Below are 17,824 nucleotides of genomic sequence, written 5' to 3'. Positions count from 1 at the left end.
TGTCCCTAGCACATAGGATATAGTCAATAAGTGTTTATTGAATCATTCTACTTATTAAATGGAAACAATTATATACTAGATATATGCTTGGGAATATACATATTACAAATTTGATTATAGATTATAAAAAATCATCACCTTGTGAAGATAACATTACATGTTCAATTTTTTATTTTTAATTTTTGTGTGTACATAGTAGGCGTATATATTTATGAGGTGCATGAGATGTAATATTACATTTTTATTTTCATATATGATAAGTAGGTACATAAGTTGAACAAATGGAAGAGGTGTAGACTTATGAGACTGTAGACTAATTATTCCTAGCTCTTGTTTGAACATAGGAATGAAGGGAGCAATGATAATACAAAGCAGCACATTAGTGTGGAGCAGGACACTGTGCACCAGTTACTAATGCCAGGGGTGGACTCTAACTGCTTGAGGGATAGCAAAAATCCTCACTATGGCAATCACTAGAAATAGAAGTCCAAAACGCTTGTGTCCGCTACAGTATTGGAATCGCCAAGGAAAACATGGTATGTTCAAGCACTGGTACAAGGCTTTTTATCACACGGAGAAGAGACAGAGGAAGATCAGCTCCAATATTATGCATCAGTCCTCCGTGGCTAGTGGGTCTCCCCCTAATTCTCCCCCATTAAGCCAATACAGGGGAATTGCACCCCGCTTGTGCAGTAGAAACCCCCTTCTCTTCCCCCAGGAAGTCTGAAAACATTGCAAGTCGGGGGCCTCAGGGTTACTCACTGAAGCAGAACAAAGGAGGACACATTGTGTCTGAAACAGGGACTATTACACAAGGCAGTGAGCTCTCTACAGACTGTGTGGGCCTTTATTCCGTGGTAAAGAAGTGTTCCAGGCCCAAGGCCCATTCCCATGGTGTAGAATGAGAGTTAGAAGATTACCATGTAATGAGACTGCCTTTCTCAACACTTAGAATTTGATATAAGATTATTTTTGCACCATATTTTTTAGTTACTCAGACTCACTGAGATTGTATTTCTTAGGAACAAATTTAGGAAGTTAATGAGAGATTACTTGAATAGTCTAAAATTGAGAAAAGAGTATTCAACCTTGGAATTACAATCTATTTTTTCCTCTTCTTAAGTAAAAAATTATTTTGGTGTAATTAGAAAGTCAAGAAGAAGGAGAAGAAGAAGGAGAAGAAGAGATTTCTGATTTCTGAATCTCTGAAAGAAGATACTAAATATTGTCTCTCCATTGCACTTTATATTTCTAAAATAAAATATAAAGAACATATGCGAAAATTTTTCCATATGTTACTTCTGTTCATACTTAAAATAAACCTGTAAGGTGTGCAAGCCATATTTTATTCTCATTCTGCTTTTGCAAAACTTGAAAAACTCTATTATGAAATGCCTTCCTTGTTCTCTGTAGTCATATATAAGTGGTTTTTAGCAACATGCCATCAGAAGATATAGCAAGTAGAAATTAAAATTTAAAGTATTAAGAAAGAAAGTACAAGATGCAAATGCTCAAAACATAGATTTTCATCGAAAAATGCCAAAATCGAAAATACATTTAAAATATACAAAATAAAAAATATCCAGAAGAATAGAAGCATTTATTTTAAAATTTCTAATTAAAAGGTTAAAAACTACACTGATTAAAAGTAAATATGGTTTGCAATGTAGCCAATAGTTGATGTGGGACTTTTTTTAAAAATAGGAATTGCTGAAGTTTTATGTTTTTAATGGCAGTAATAAATGATAACTCTGAATTTGTATTCACAGCTTTCGTGTCCAACTGCCTCCTGAACATCTCATTTCTATTTAACAACAGGCAAATCAGACTTATAATATATTTCACACTTAACTCCTAAAATCCCTCTCCTAATGAATCATTCTGTCACCCACATATTCCCCACCCCCCACCAGAAACTTGTAAATCATCCTATATTTTTTCCTCTCTTTCAACCAATATCTAAACAATCATTACATTTTAAATATTTCAGCAATATATTCCCTAGTTCTCTTCCCCTTTGCTAGGACTGTGGTTTAAGCCTCATCATCTCCTGCCTGTACTGTTTTTTTCTGAACTCTTTTCTGGTCTTGCAGGTGACAAAGATCATGCCTGGAGGTAGCAATCACTCCACCCACCAGGAGCTGTGGATCCAACAGCAAAAAAGGCAGAGTCCCTACCATCAAGGAGATGCAGCCAGGGAAGTGGTGAATGTGGTGGAGAAAGTAAAGAAGACACAGTAAAGTAAACATGTAATCATCTAGTATTGTGATGTGTCATTTTCGATAAATACAGAGGATGCTTTCAGAGTACAAGAGATGGTTACCCAAACATGTCCCTTCTCTATAATCCTTATTTCCATTCATGAAGGGAAAAACTTCTAGATTGAATTGAATGCACTAATGGTTTACCCATTGCATACACCTCAAGTCTCTGGCACAGCCTGTAGCATTCAGAGGGAAGCAGGATTGCCTGTCACTTCATGGTTTACTGCCTGGTTGCACATCCTGGCTTCAACAGTTACCAGGCATGTTTCTCTAGACAAAGTACTTAACCACTCTGTTTCCTCCAGGGTAAAACAGAGCTAACAGTAGATCCTCATAAGATTGTTAAAATAAATAAATGACTATGTATATAAAGCACTTATATTAGGGCTACATATGGATTTGCTGTATTACTATCATCAACCTTGCAGGAGAAATGGACACTTTTGCTTTATGGGGTTACAAAATATTATTTGAACAAATTTCAGTGGATTAGAACAAGCTTTTCGCCCTTACCCTGTTTACCTGTAAAAGGCTTACTCATCTTTCTAGACTTCCATTAATCATTGGAATTTAACGTAAGAATAGAGACTCTAGAATTAGATTGACATTGGTTTGATTCTGAGATTTAATATTCACTAGCTGCATTGTCTAAGTAAATTTACTTTTTCTGACTCTATTTATCTCTGTAGATAATATTACCCAGCTCTTATAGGATTATATTAAAAAACAAGATCATTCTATAAAGATACTCGCCTAGTATGGCCTCTCAATTAATTTCTATTAATGGAGAAGTAGGCAGGCTTTGTTTATATTTCTACCATATTTACCCTGACTATATTATGTGTAGTTATTTAGTTTTGCATTTGTTTTCTTGGTTGTCTTCTCCCTTAGACATAAAAGCTTTCCTTGAACAGGAATTTTGTCTTTTTTAAGCTTGATTTCTAAGACATAGCCAATCCCTAATCCCTGCATACAGTGTACATTCTGTAAGTACTTGATGAATGAATTAATAAATATATAAATTAAGACATGGATATTTTAAATATGGAATAATTCATATTGTATTGCTTCTATTATTTCCTTGCAGTGCAAGTATACTTTTATTATAACTATAGAAGAGACAGAGAACAATGAATACCAATATCTTAAGAATTTACACAAGGAATAAAGACCCGTTGCCTTCTGGTCGTTGATGACTGCTCAGTGGGTAGCACTGAGTGGGAAAATTTCGTTATGTTATCAAAGGGGGTTAATTAAAAGGTCATTAAAAAGGCACCATTAGTATTAGGAGCTAATGGTCTTTGAACATCATTAGAGAGTTAACTGGTGTATCAAAACCTGAGACTTGTTTCCCTGTGATTTACACAATTCTCACAAACCTTGCCTTATTAAAATTCTTAATAATTTTTCCTAATTTCTCTCTTCTGTAAGGTTTAGATACCATAACTTTGTTAACAGACGTAGATACTTAGTAATAAGAAGAAAGTTGACTGAGAGGAGTGCTAGGCATCTAAAGAGGTCAACTTATAATAATTTTTAGCTGAAAATAATTATAAAATTATTTTTTTAAGACTGAATAATTGGTCTTTAAAAAATAATCTAGAAATTATTTTAAAATAATCTTTATAATAATCTAAAGATCATGAAGAGTTAGCCTCGTTATTTCTCTTATTAAAAGTTAAGAAATAATACTTTTTCAAGATATAAACTATTACAAAGGCTATTTTAAACTGATTAAATTTCTGCTCAGTATTTCCATTTTCTTTTCAAATTTGGTTGGTAAAGAAATGCAAAATGTTAGCTGATTGACTTGTTCCTTTTCATGATAGGTTAAGTAACTAATTAAACATGAAGCTTATAAATAAAAATTGAAGAAAACCTATTTCTTGCCAATTAGTAAAAAAGAAATATCAAAAGATAAGAATTTTAACATTATAGACTTCAAGTGTAATTTGCAAAATCTAAAAAAAAAAAAAAAGAAAAAGGATGCATTGATAAAACTAGGACTAGGACACATTGGTATCCATTACCTATAATCGCCTAGTCACTTCCAAGGAATTGTATAATTGTATATGCACTTTTGGGGTCAGGGGGATGGAAAACTTTCTATTTTTCTTCTCTCTACCATACCTTCTCCCTCACTTATATCACACATATTTATGTATAATTAGCTATCAACAAGAGGCTTAGACATGGGGGAATATGTTTTTCTTCATTGCAATTGTTAGTGTCAATCAATGAATAGCAAAACATATAAAATAACATGAATTGAAAGATAAATGAGCGTCCGGTCATGGTGGCTCATGCCTGTAATCCCAGCACTTTGGGAGGCCAACGTGGGCGGATCACCTGAGGTCAGTAGTTCAAGACCAGCCTGGCCAACACGGTGAAACCCTGTCTCTACTAAAAATGTAAAAATTAGCTGGGCATGGTGGTGCATGCCTGTAATTCCAGCTACTCGGGAGGCTGAGGCAGGAGATCGCTTGAACCTGGGAGGTCGAGGTTGCAGTGAGCCGAGATGGCATCACTGCACTCCAGCCTGGGCGACAGAGCAAGAATCCAAAAGAAAGAAAGGAAAGAAAGAGAGAGAGAGAGAGAGAAAGAAAGAAAGAAAAAGACAGACCAGCACATAGAAGCCTTGATATAACATATTTAGTATATTTTTATGTCCATTTAAAGCTAGGTTGGCATTTATTATTTATATCTTTTATATAAAAAGGTAATGAGATATTAATATTGAACTAAATTTACCAAATTAGAAAATAAAAACTGTATTAACAAAAAAAAAGATATACTTGGATAATTAACCCAATTAGCCATCTAATGTAACCCAATATTAAATATTCAGATATATTTCCACTATTTTAAAAAATTTCTCCTACTGTAATTTTATGATTGTGAACATAATACATATATATACACATATATATGTGTGTATATATATGGGTATGTCTTGATTTTAAACTAAATGTATTGATAAACATCTGTACATCTTCAGAGCCTTTATTCTCATGATCTGTCTCATGTTCTAAGTTTATTTAAAAGTTTCCTTAATTTAGTCCTTTGGTTCAAACATTTAGGTTGCTTTCAATTTTTATTTTTCATTGATCTCACTTTTACAAATACCTATGTCATACAGCATTTTACTAATTGTTGGATTTTTTATTAGGGTAATTTACAGAATCAAAAATAATGTTCAAGACAATGAACATTTTTACGGTTTCACTTTCATATTGCTAATACACTTTCCCAAAATTTGTGTGTGCCAATTTACATTTTTAACAGAAATGTATGAGAACATGGTTTAACTTTATTTAGTTTAAATATATTTTTGAAGCGTTTTTTAATTAATTAGGACATTTCTTTTTTTCTTTGTGGTTTTTTGTTGTTGTTGTTGTTGTTGTTTAAACTTTAAGTTTTGAGATACAAGTGCAGAATGTGTAGGTTTGTTACATAGGTATACGTGTGCTATGGTGGTTTGCTGAACCTATCAACCCATCACGTAGGTCTTAAGCCCTGCATGCATTAGCTATTTGTTGTAATGCTCTCCCTCCCCTCACTCCCGCCCACTGACAGGTCCCTGTGTGTGTTGTTTCCTTCCCTGTGTCCATGTGTTCTCATTGTTCAACTCCCACTTACCAGTGAGAACATGTGGTGTTTAGTTTTCTATTCCTGTGTTAGTTTGCTGAGGATAATGGCTTCCAGCTTCATCCATGTCTCTGCAAAGCACATGATCTCATTCCTTTTTATGGCTGCATAGTATTCCATGGTGTATATGCACTGCATTTTCTTTATCCAGTCAATTATTGATGGACATTTTGGTTGGTTCCAAATGTCTTTGGTATTGTAAATAGTGCTGCAATAAACATATGTCTGCATGTGTCTTTATAGTAGAATGATTTATATTCCTTTGGGTATATATCCAGTAATGAGATTGCTGAGTCAAATGGTATTTCTGGTTCTAGATCCTTGAGGAATTGCCACACTGTCTTCCATAATGGTTGAAATAATTTATGTTCCCATCAACAGTGTAAAAGGGTTCCTATTTCTTCATAGCCTCACCAGCATCTATTGTTTCTTGATTTTTTCATAATTGCCCTTCTGACTGGTGTGAGATAGTATCTCATTGTGGTTTTGATTTGCATTTCTCTAATGATCAGTGATGCTGAGCTTTTTTTTCATATATTTGTTGGCTGCATAAATGTCTTCTTTATAAGAAGTGTCTGTTCATATACTTTGCCCATTTTTTGATGGGGTTGTTTTTTTCTTGTAAATTTGTTTAAGTTCCTAGTAGTTCATCTCAGAGTTACATGGCCTATATCAATTTTCCAGGATTGTTCTCTCTCTCTCTCTTTTTTTTTTTTTTGTTATTTACTCCTCTTTTTCCTCTGTTTTCTTTCTCTCTTCCTCCCTCAATTTTTTCTTTGCAGGACGGGAACTTCACAACCTGCTAAAAATGAGCTTTCCTAACAACGTGGGACCTATTCATCTAAGAATAAATTGTCCTAGCCATGAGAAACCAGACAAAACCCAAGAACAGAGACTCATTTTCTTCTAAAATGCTTTCTCTGAAAGATTTTAAAAATAAAATAAAACAATTTTTAAAATATTTTAAAGAGAAAATAAAAACTTGGGACTCCAATTTGCCACGCCAAAAGTAAAAAAATTAAGCTGAAAGCTGAGTCATACAAGAAACTGCCTTTAGCTTTGTTCCTAAATAGATAGGTAGCCACAGATAAAAGGTTAAATATTTCCACAGGTAGCTGCTCTACATTTACCTTATGTAAAATGCTGATTTACTGCCTGTGAGATGAATACATAAGTGACTATTCCTCTCCCTACTCCTTTTTATCTAGCAACATGTGAATTCAGTAGTGTGACCTTACCCCCATCCTACCCTGCCTCTTTCTCCTCCAGCCTACTTTTCCCCTTTAAATATTGAAGTCCTCAAACTCTTCTTTCGAGAAAGTCATAGATCTGTGTCCTAGGCCTGTCTGTAACCTTGGCAAAATAAGTTTCCAAATTGACTGAAACTTCTCAGATACTTTTTGGTTTACATATATAATGTGCATTTTGAAAAAAAATAGAAAAAGAAAACAAATTATTTAAAAAAATAGTTAAAATTCTCATACGGCCAAAAGCAATCTACAGATTCAATGTTGTTTCTATCAAAATACCAGTGTCATTTTTCATAGAATTAGGAAAAAACTACTCTAAAATTAATATGAAACCAAAAAAAGAGCCTGGATAGCCAAGGCAACTGTAACCAAAAACACAAAGCCAGAGGAATCACATTACCTGACTTCAAACTATATTATAAGGCTATAGTAACCAAAACAGCCTGGTACAAAACGGACACATAGACCAATTGAACAGAATAGAGAAACCAGGAATAAAGCCATGCACTTATGACCATCTGATCTTCAACAAAGTCAACAAAATTAAGCACTGAAGAAAGGAGTTCTTATTTAATAAATGGTGCTGGGATAACTGGCTAGCCATATGCAGAAAAATACAACTGGACCACTACCTTTTACTATATACAAAATTTAATTGAAGATAGATTAAAGATCTAAATGTAAAATCTCAAACTATACAAATCCTAGAAGATAACCTAGGAAATACCATTCTGAACGATACCGTTCTTGGCCTTGGCAGAGAATTTATGACTAACTAAGTCCTCAAAAACAATTGCAACAAAACAAAGTTAACAAGTAGGGCCTAATTAAAGAGCTTTTGCCCAGCAAAAGAAACTATCAACAGAGTAAACAGACAACCCACAGAATGGGAGAAAAATACTTGAAAATTATGCACCTGATAAAGATCTAATATCCAAAATTTATACTAAACTTAAACCAATCAGCAAGCAAAAAATAACTCCATTAAAAAATGGGCAAAGGACATGGAAAGGCACTTCAACAAGAAGACATACAAGCAGCCAACAAACATGAAAAAATTTTCAACATTATAAAGCAGCAAGGAAATGCAAATCAAAACTACAATGAGATACCATCTCATACCAGTCAAAATAGCTACTATTAAAAAAAAAAATCAAAGGCTGTAAGATGCTGGCAAGGCTGTGGAGAGAAGAGAATGTTTATACAATGTTGGTGGCAACGTAAATTAGTTTGGCTAATGTGGAAAGCAGCTTGGCAATTTCTCAAAGAAATTAAAATAGAATTATCATTCAACTTGGTAATTCCACTACTGGGTATATCCCCAAAGGAAAATAAATCATTATACAAAAAAGACACATGCACTCTTATAGTCATTATAGCACTATTCACAGTGGCAATGGCATGGAATCAACCTAGGTGCCCATCTATTGTGAATTGGATAAAGAAAATGTGGTATATATACACCATAGAATACTACACAGCCATAAAAAACGAACAAAATCTTGTCCTTTGCAGTGACATGGATACAGCTGGAGGCCAACATCCTAAGTGAATTAATGCATGCTCAGAAAACCAAATACCATATGTTCTCATTTATAAGTGGGAGTTAAACATTGGGTATGTATGGATATAAAGATGGCAACAATAGACACTGGAGATTACTAGAGAAGGGAGAGAAGGAATAGGGCAAAAGCTGAAAAATTACCTTTTGGGTACTATACTCACTACTAGGTGATGGAATCATTTTTACCGAAAACCTCATCCTATATACCCCTTTAACAAACTTGTACATGCATTCACTGTACAATCACTGTACAATCTAAAGCAAAAGTTGAAATTATTTTAAAAAGAAAAAATAGTATCTTCAATTTAGGTGAAATTCAAAACAATATTCATTGCATTAAACCTGTTTAGAAATTGCTAAAAGATGATTAATAATGCTTTGATGACCCAAGGTACCACACATTCAGTTCCAAAGTGCTATACATTTTTTCAGTTACTGACTAAAAAATACATTTTTGTTTTACTTTATTATTAGAAAATATCAAAGGAAGAAATTGTCTATTAAGTAAACCATCTTCTTAAGCAGAAAGAATCTATCATTCTGGGTGAATGATTTATTTTTGCAAGAGTAATTGTTTATAATTTTAAAGTTTCTTTAGCTACTGAGTGCCTGTTTTTATGAAATACATGACCAAAATCTAATTATACAAATAAACAGTCATATTTAAAAGTATAAATTACAACATTGGCAGAAAATTGAAGATTACTTGTTCTAACCAAAATCCACAATCAACTCTTAATTTATTAAAATTAGTGGGGTGAAAATTAGAACATTCAAATGAGAAATTATAATATTCATTAAAGAGTTAATGAAAACATGTCTATCCTGAAACTTAGCATCTGGCAAAGATGCCATCAGGTTTTTACTCCAACCATATGAGGTTGCCACAGCATCAGTTGCAAAAATCATGCACAGCGTAAGCCACTTACATTCAGAAATCAGTTTCCTTAAGGGGTCTCTGGAAGAAATCCAGATTCAATTTGAAAATTAAAGAGTGCATGGTCATGGTGACACTAAACAACTGAAGGGTGTGGAAGAAATAGCAGTGCTACATTGATTGCTTGACACATATTGAAGAGGCAACATGCAAATCATAATTCTACAAGATACAAAAAAATTGATCACTGAGAAAGAAGTTCCTGTAAAGTAAAAGTGTGTCATGCAACACAGTGTGTGTGTGTGTGTGTGTGTGTGTGTGTGTGTGTGTGTGTATGTTTTTCTCCCCTCTGGCTGCTCTTTCTCCATGAGCAGGTCAATAATGATAAAAATTTTCCCTTATGAAATAGGGTCTCAATCCCTCCCTAGTGACTGGCCTTTTCAAAATAAAAACTCAAGGCAATGAAACATATACAGCTGAAAATCATCCAGAAGAAAAACATGAACCATCTTAATAACATATTCAATCTCTTTTTCTCGCCATATAGAGGTCATTATGTAGACCATAATGTGTGGTGGTGAATGAATGTGTGCATGTGTGTACGTATGTGTATATAGTTATGAATATATTATTCAAGGTTATCTCTGATTTGGAAAAGTCTACATAATTATATAAATCATGCATAAATATAATATATATGCATATTTACATATACATGCATACTTGTTTTCAATTCTCCGATGAGTTAAAATGAACACATATTTTCTTCTATACATACATATATACAAATTTTAAAGAAAGGATAAGCTGTATGTGTAATAATATTTAGTTTCTTAAATACATTTTATAGATTAATATTAAATTGCACAAGCCTATCTCTACCCTATGGCTTTACCTTTATATAATTTTTTTTTTTTTTTTGAGACAGAATCTCACTCTGTCACCTAGGCTGGAGAGCAATGGTGTGATTCAGCTCACTGAAACTTCTGCCTCCCAGGTTCAAGTGATTGTCCTGCCTCAGCCTCCCAAATAGCTGGGACTACAGGTGCCCACCACCACTCCCGGCTAATTTTTTTTTTTTTTTTTTTTTTGATACGGAGTCTCGCTCTGTCACCCAGGCTGAAGTGCAGTGGTGCGATCTCAGCTCACTGCAAGCTCCGCCTGCCAGGTTCATGCCATTCTCCTGCCTCAGCCTCTCGAGTAGCCGGGACTACAGGCACCTGCCACCACGCCCAGCTAATTTTTTTGTATTTTTAGTAGAGACAGGGTTTCACCGTGTTAGCCAGGATGGTCTCGATCTCCTGACCTCATGATCCGCCTGCCTCCGCCTCCACCTCCGCCTCCCAAAGTGCTGAGATTAGAGGCATGAGCCACCGCGCCTGGCCCTTTTTTTTTTTTAATGTTGGTGTTTTATGCCTTGTACTCTGAATATAACTGAACAACCAAATTCTTCTATTTCAGCAGTGTTGAAGAAACTAAGTTTCTAATTCAATTATCTTGGAAAGTAGAATCTTAGCTTGGCATTAGAAGCCACATATTAATCAAGCAATGACAAAAGGTAACAGAGAAGATAAAAAAAATTAAATCATTACATTAAAAATCAAACTACTAATCAAAATCTTGTATTATACTTAGGCAATGTTTTTGCATCTACTAGAAGATTATGCATTAAAATTATATCCCAAAGTGGTTCATGATTAAACTACAGCTCTTGACTGAGGATCATTTGTTGCTGTATACATGAGAGAGAGTGTGTGTGTGTGTGTGTGTGTGTGTTTGTACATGTATGTGTCTGTTGGTAATTCAAATATGCAGAAAAAATCATTATCCAAAGAGCATTTTTTTATTTATGTTTCTATACTTATTACCTAACAGTACCTAAGAATTCAAAGATGCTCAAGTGAAATAAATGTATAGAACTTGAAATTTATCCAAAAGTTACTTCCCTAAAATAGCCTTTTTTTTTTTAATATACTTTAAGTTTTAGGGTACATGTGCACAACCTGCAGGTTAGTTACATATGTATACAAAGAAGCTTTGTTCTTTCACTCTTTGCAATAAATCTTGCTGCTGCTCACTCTTTGGGTCCACACTGCCTTTATGAGCCATAACACTCACCGCGAAGGTCCGCAGCTTCACTCCTGAAGCCAGTGAGACCACGAACCCACCAGAAGGAAGAAACTCTGAACACATCTGAACATCAGAAGGGACAAACTCCAGACACGCCGCCTTTAAGAACTGTAACACTACAATCAGAGTGAACGGGCAACCTACAAAATGGGAGGAAATTTTCGCAACCTACTCATCTGACAAAGGGCTAATATCCAGAATCTACAATGAACTCAAACAAATTTACAAGAAAACAACAAACAACCCCATCAAAAAGTGGGTGAAGGACATGAACAGACACTTCTCAAAAAGAAGACATTTATGTAGCCAAAAAACACATGGGAAAATGCTCACCATCACTGGCCATCAGAGAAATGCAAATCAAAACCACAATGAGATACCATCTCACACCAGTTAGAATGGCAATCATTAAAAAGTCAGGAAACAACAGGTGCTGGAGAGGATGTGGAGAAATAGGAACACTTTTACACTGTTGGTGGGACTGTAAACTAGTTCAACCATTGTGGAAGTCAGTGTGGTGATTCCTCAGGGATCTAGAACTAGAATTACCATTTGACCCAGCCATCTCATTACTGGGTATATACCCAAAGGAATATAAATCATGCTGCTATAAAGACACATGCACACGTATGTTTATTGTGGCACTATTCACAATAGCAAAGACTTGGAACCAACCCAAATGTCCAACAATGATAGACTAGATTAAGAAAATGTGGCACATATACATCATGGAATACTATGCAGCCATAAAAAATGGTTAGTTCATGTCCTTTGTAGGGACATGGATGAAATTGGAAACCATCATTCTCAGTAAACTATCGCAAGGACAAAAAACCAAACACCGCATGTTCTCACTCATAGGTGGGAATTGAACAATGAGAACACATGGACACAGGAAGGGGAACATCACACTCTGGGGACTGTTGTGGGGTGGGGGGAGGGGGGAGGGATAGCATTAGGAGATATACCTAATGCTAAATGACAAGTTAATGGGTGCAGCACACCAGCATGGCACATGTATACATATGTAACTAACCTGCACGTTGTGCACATGTACCCTAAAACTTAAAGTATAATAATAATAAAATAAAATAAAAAAGAACAACAACAAAAAAAAGGAACTGTAACACTCACCGCGTGGGTCCACAGCTTCATTCTTGAAGTCAGTGAGACCAAGAATCCAGCAATTCCAGACACATTACTCCTAATATCACAGTGGGGGTACACCCTGTGATGATATGATTTGTAATTTCTAAGGGAGGTATTTCTCCAATATCACAGAGGTGTACATCCTTTGAAAATATGATTTATAATATCTAAGGGAGATATTACTCCTAATATCTTCTTTTAGATATTACAAATAATATCACAGGGTGTACACCCACCATGATATCAGGAGGAATATCTTCTTTTAGATATTACTAAGGCTTTACATTGCCTTGTGGCTTCTGCTGTCTTGAACGACCTTTGACATCCCCTAAGGGAACTCACTCTAGAGCCCTTCATGAGAGGCCACGTGAAGACAGAGGCTCTGATACCATATTAACCATGTCTTTTTATGTATTCTGACGTTTCGACATCTAGGGCCTTGCTGACCTTGGCAGGCCTGTCCCTCCCAGGGTTAGCCAATTCCTAGAGACAGTAAATAACTTGCGCATGAGAGTGCTTTTCACAAACAAACTAACCAGTCCAGAGCTCATGCCCCCAATTACCTATTTCATCAGGCTTCCACAGGACTCACACACTCTAGGCCACTACTCCTCTGCCCTGAGCACTCCAGAGCCAGGTACCAGACAACTAGGGACAGCCCCTATAACCAGAGCTTGCTGAAATTACTCAAACTAAAATAGCTAACCTTAACCCTGCTCATCTTGCCTCACTTATTCCTTCCCATGGAAACCACCGTAAAGGCTCTTGCCCATCTTTTTCCATCACTCCTGCCTTCTCGCTGACCATACTGTCTCCCTATTTGGTCCTGCATGGAATAGTACTTTCCTTTCTCTTGGGATCTGTGAGTAACAAACTATCTTTTCAGTGGCAATTGACTCTTGTTCTGTTGGTCTCTCCATACCTGAAGAATAATGCAACCTATATATTTTTTTTAAATCAACTAAAATTTATTTAATTAAGCATAAAGTTAATTTCACATTTGTCTACAATCACAGTAAATACAGTTCTTTAAATGCCATGGCCTTTAAAATGTAAAGCCTCCCCACCTGCAAGATTACATATATAAAACTCCCACTATTGTTTATATAATAGTGGATTAGTTAACCAAATTAAAATAGTTATACTATCTAGAATAAAATAAAATGGAAATAATTTACACATAAGATTCATATTTAAATCATCCTTATTTACAAAATACTATCCCGAGAATTATAATTCTATTAAGTTTCAATTTGAGCAAAAGTGTAATCACTGAAAATGAGAACAGTCAAAATGACTTTTGAAGAGAGCAAAAATATTGTCAGGTTTCTTGCTGTGGTTCTGGATCTTCAGCAGCAGGCTCATTTGAAGGCAGACTCAACCCTGAAGGGAACTCACTCTATCTTCAGAATGTGGGGGTGGTGGGGGGAAATCCAGGTCTTAGGGGAAGGTAAGGAGGAAAACCCCTCGGTGGATAGACATTTCTCATTGCAAATGGAAGCACGTGGTGGACCTGGGACATCCCTTGGTGGAAAATAATCTGGAGAAGCTCCAAACATGGTTCCTGGAGGAGGTGGAGGAAAAGGAGGTCCTCTTCTCATGAACGGGCCCCTCATATCCACTGGAAACAATGGACCTCTGATTGGAGCAAGAGGTGGAGGAACAAAGCCAGGGCCAGTCACTTCATTTCCAGCAGGGAGAGATGAATCAGCCACATTTAAATTACCAAGATTATCTTTGGTATCATTTCTACTGGATTCCATTTCTGAAGGCATTGACCCATCCATTTTATCCAAAGGAGGCTTATTAAAACTTCTGAGTTCTGCTGGTCCAGAGCGTCTAGCATAATTAGAATAAAATCTGTCTTGCCTTTGTGGAGGAAGAGCTGAATCAGGATATGATTGTCCTGGTGGAGGAGACATCATCCTACAGTCCTGTTCCCATGGAGGTGACAGGAACCCAGTGTCAGAAGGAGCCCTGTGAGGATCGGTAAACCTATCACAGCTTGATTCTCCTCTTTCCTTGGTAATCTGGTGGTCCAGAGGATTCCCTGGGCCTCTTGGGCCTCTTCCTCCTCCCCCTGGAAGCAAAGGTGAGAGTCTCAGTGGACCCTCCAACAAAGATGGAAGATAGAGAAAAGCTCTCATTTCAGATGAAGGCCGACCCAATGGTGAGGGACCATATGAGGAATGCTCTCTGCCAAATGCTGTATTTGGAACATCAAGTGCATAAGGATCTTTTTCTAAAAGTTTAATTGTAAACTCTGTTTCAGCTCATTTTTGTCTGTTGTGAGCATTTTCTTTCCTTAAATCGTCAAGGTTTCTTTCAGCAGTCCATGCTGCCAAACAATTATCGTGTGCTTCTTTCTAATGGTATATAATCTTCCCTTGATAAACATGAATACTTCTCTGAAATTCTTCTTCAAGATCGTTTGCTTGCTTTCTGCAGGTCTCCAGCTCTTCAGCAGCATGGCTGATCATTTCATCTACTTTAGAAAGTTTCTCTTTCTCTAGCCGGTTATTTTCCTCTACTATTAATTTCCTGTAGAGTTTCATTTCATTTTCTTGATATAATTCTGTCATTACCTTAAGTTTCTGTTGAAGCTTCTGATTCTCACTTTCAAAATGTGTGTTTTCCAACTGCAAAGATACTTGTTCCGTCTGAAGATTTTTAATATGCCCTCTAAGCTCTTCCTTGGTTTTATCAACTTCAGATAACTGAATATAAATTTGGTTTCTTTCTCCTTCTAAGGTTGTTAAAGAAGCATTTAACTTAGCAGCATGAAGCAGTTTCTTCAAAGCTCCTTTTGGAGGATTATCTACGTAAGCACCATCTTCTGATTCACTGTTCATTTCTAATTCCAAGTTACCATCATCTGTTATGTCTTCTTCCAGCACAGCAGCCTGATCTTTGTGATCTTTAGCAAGCGTTCAGTCAGAGTCTTGATGTGATTTTCTTTATCATTTAGAACTTGTTCTGCGTGTACTTTGGAGTCTTCAAATGTTATTTTCTGTTGTTTATTAAGTTCACTCACTTGTTCTTTCCATGCTTCAGCTTCTTGCAAAAGCTGTTTCTGGCTTTCCTGAAGTTGAGAATTTTCATTTAAAGCATATTGTATTCCTATCTTCATTCTTTCTTCATTCATTTGAAATCTCTTGAAGGTCATTTTGGCTTCAGCTACATGGGATTTGAGGGATTTTGACTCATCTTCTAGAGACTGTATCCTTTTGGAAATATCCGCCATCACCTCATCTTGTTCAGAATGTTTAGATTTCTCTTCTTTTAACTCCTTTTCTAGACAGGGTATTTCATGCTCCAGTTCAGAATTGGACCTGCTCAGCTTTTCACAGGTTGCCTCCAAACTCTGTGCTTCTGTTGCCTCCTTCTCAAAGCTGGAATCGTCTAAAGATGACTCTATTTCATAGCTTTCATACTCTTTTTGAACAAGGCTAAATTTTTCAAGTAGTCTACATTTTTCTTCAATTAGTCCAGAAAGTGCTACAGCAAGCTTTTTCTCTCTTCCCACATAAAGCCGACTCCTAACCGATCTAAAACTTCTCCACAAGAAAAAGGGAACAGCAAAAAATCCAACGACAGCGGCACATATCACCAATTCCCATGGTAATCCATAAGGATTCGAATCTGGTCTCCTGCCTTCAGTCAGTGCTGCCATAACCCTGCGTGGCTCCTCCAGGACCAGCCCCCAGTAAGGCTGAGGGGTAGCCCTGGGCGCCTCCATAGCGCCAAGGCTGCTCTGGCGATGGCCGCAGTTACCCAGGCTTGTCGGGGCCACAATAAGCTGCGGAGAACACTCAGCTTTCAGTTAGGAACAGAATCTGCACCTGGCAACCAGAGCGGACCACTGAGGAGCCGGCTGCGGGGGGAGCTGGGGGACGCGGGAACGCACAGACCTCACAGGCCCATAGAAAAGGTACAGTAAAAATATAGTATAAAATTTTTTTTAAAGATATGCTTGTATAGAGTACTTACCATAAATAAATGGAGCTTGCAAGATTGGAAATTGCTGTGGGTGAGTTAGTAAGTGGTGAGTGAATGTGAAGGCCTAGGGCACTACTATACACTACTGCAGACTTCACAAGCGCTGCACACTTAAGCTACACTAATTAATTAAAATTGTTTTCTCCAATAATAAATTAACCTTAGCTTACTGTAACTTTTAAACTTTATAAATGTTTAAACTTTTTTTAACTTTTTTACTTTTTTGTAATAACACTTCACTTACAACACAAACATATTGTACAGCTGTACAAAAATGTCTTCTTTATATCCTCATTTTATAAGCTTTTTTAATTAAATTTTTCTTTTTTTTTTACTTTTTAATAGTTTTTTGTTAAAAAAACCAAGACATAGACACACACGTTAGCCTCAGCCTACACAGGGTCAGGATTATCAATATCACTGTCTTCCATCCCCACATCTTGTCCCACTGGAAGGTCTTCAGGGGCAATAACAGGCATGGAGCTGTCGCCTCCTATGATAACAATGCCCACTTTTGGATACCTCCTGAGGGACCTGCCTGAGGCTGTTTTACGGTTAACTTCTAACCATACGCTCTAAAATAATGACAAAAATTATAGTACAGGTTGGTCCAATGATAGTGGGTTATCAGAACTTATTAACATTTAGTGTCACTAAAGTTGGTATAAAACCCTCCACTGCTAAATTTAAATGGTTTATAGGTTTTTGGGCTTGTTTTTTTTTTTTTTTAAATAGGCTGGGTGCAGTAACTCACGAATGTAATCCCAGCACTTTGGGAGGCTGAGGCAGCCAGATCACTTGAGGTCAGGATTTCAAGACCAGCCTGGCCAATATACTGAAACCACATCTCTATTAAAAACACAAAATTAGTCAGGCATGGTGGCACACACCTGTAATCCCAGCTACTCAGGAGGCTGAGGCAGGAGAATCACTTGGACCAGGA

The 17,824-nt window shown here is 36.4% G+C and overlaps 2 pseudogenes; one reads left to right on the top strand and one right to left on the bottom strand.

Annotated features, from left to right (window-relative positions):
- Nucleotides 1-14,090: 14,090 nt before the first annotated feature.
- CTAGE16P (CTAGE family member 16, pseudogene) lies at nucleotides 14,091-16,621 on the bottom strand (annotated as a pseudogene).
- RNY4P29 (RNY4 pseudogene 29) lies at nucleotides 17,485-17,578 on the top strand (annotated as a pseudogene).

The sequence above is a fragment of the Homo sapiens genome, chromosome 13, assembly GCF_000001405.40.
Source record: "Homo sapiens chromosome 13, GRCh38.p14 Primary Assembly".
NCBI classification, from domain to species: Eukaryota; Metazoa; Chordata; class Mammalia; order Primates; family Hominidae; genus Homo; species Homo sapiens.
The sequence above is the reverse complement of the archived record's forward strand: the minus strand, read 5'-3'. Positions and strand labels throughout refer to the sequence as shown.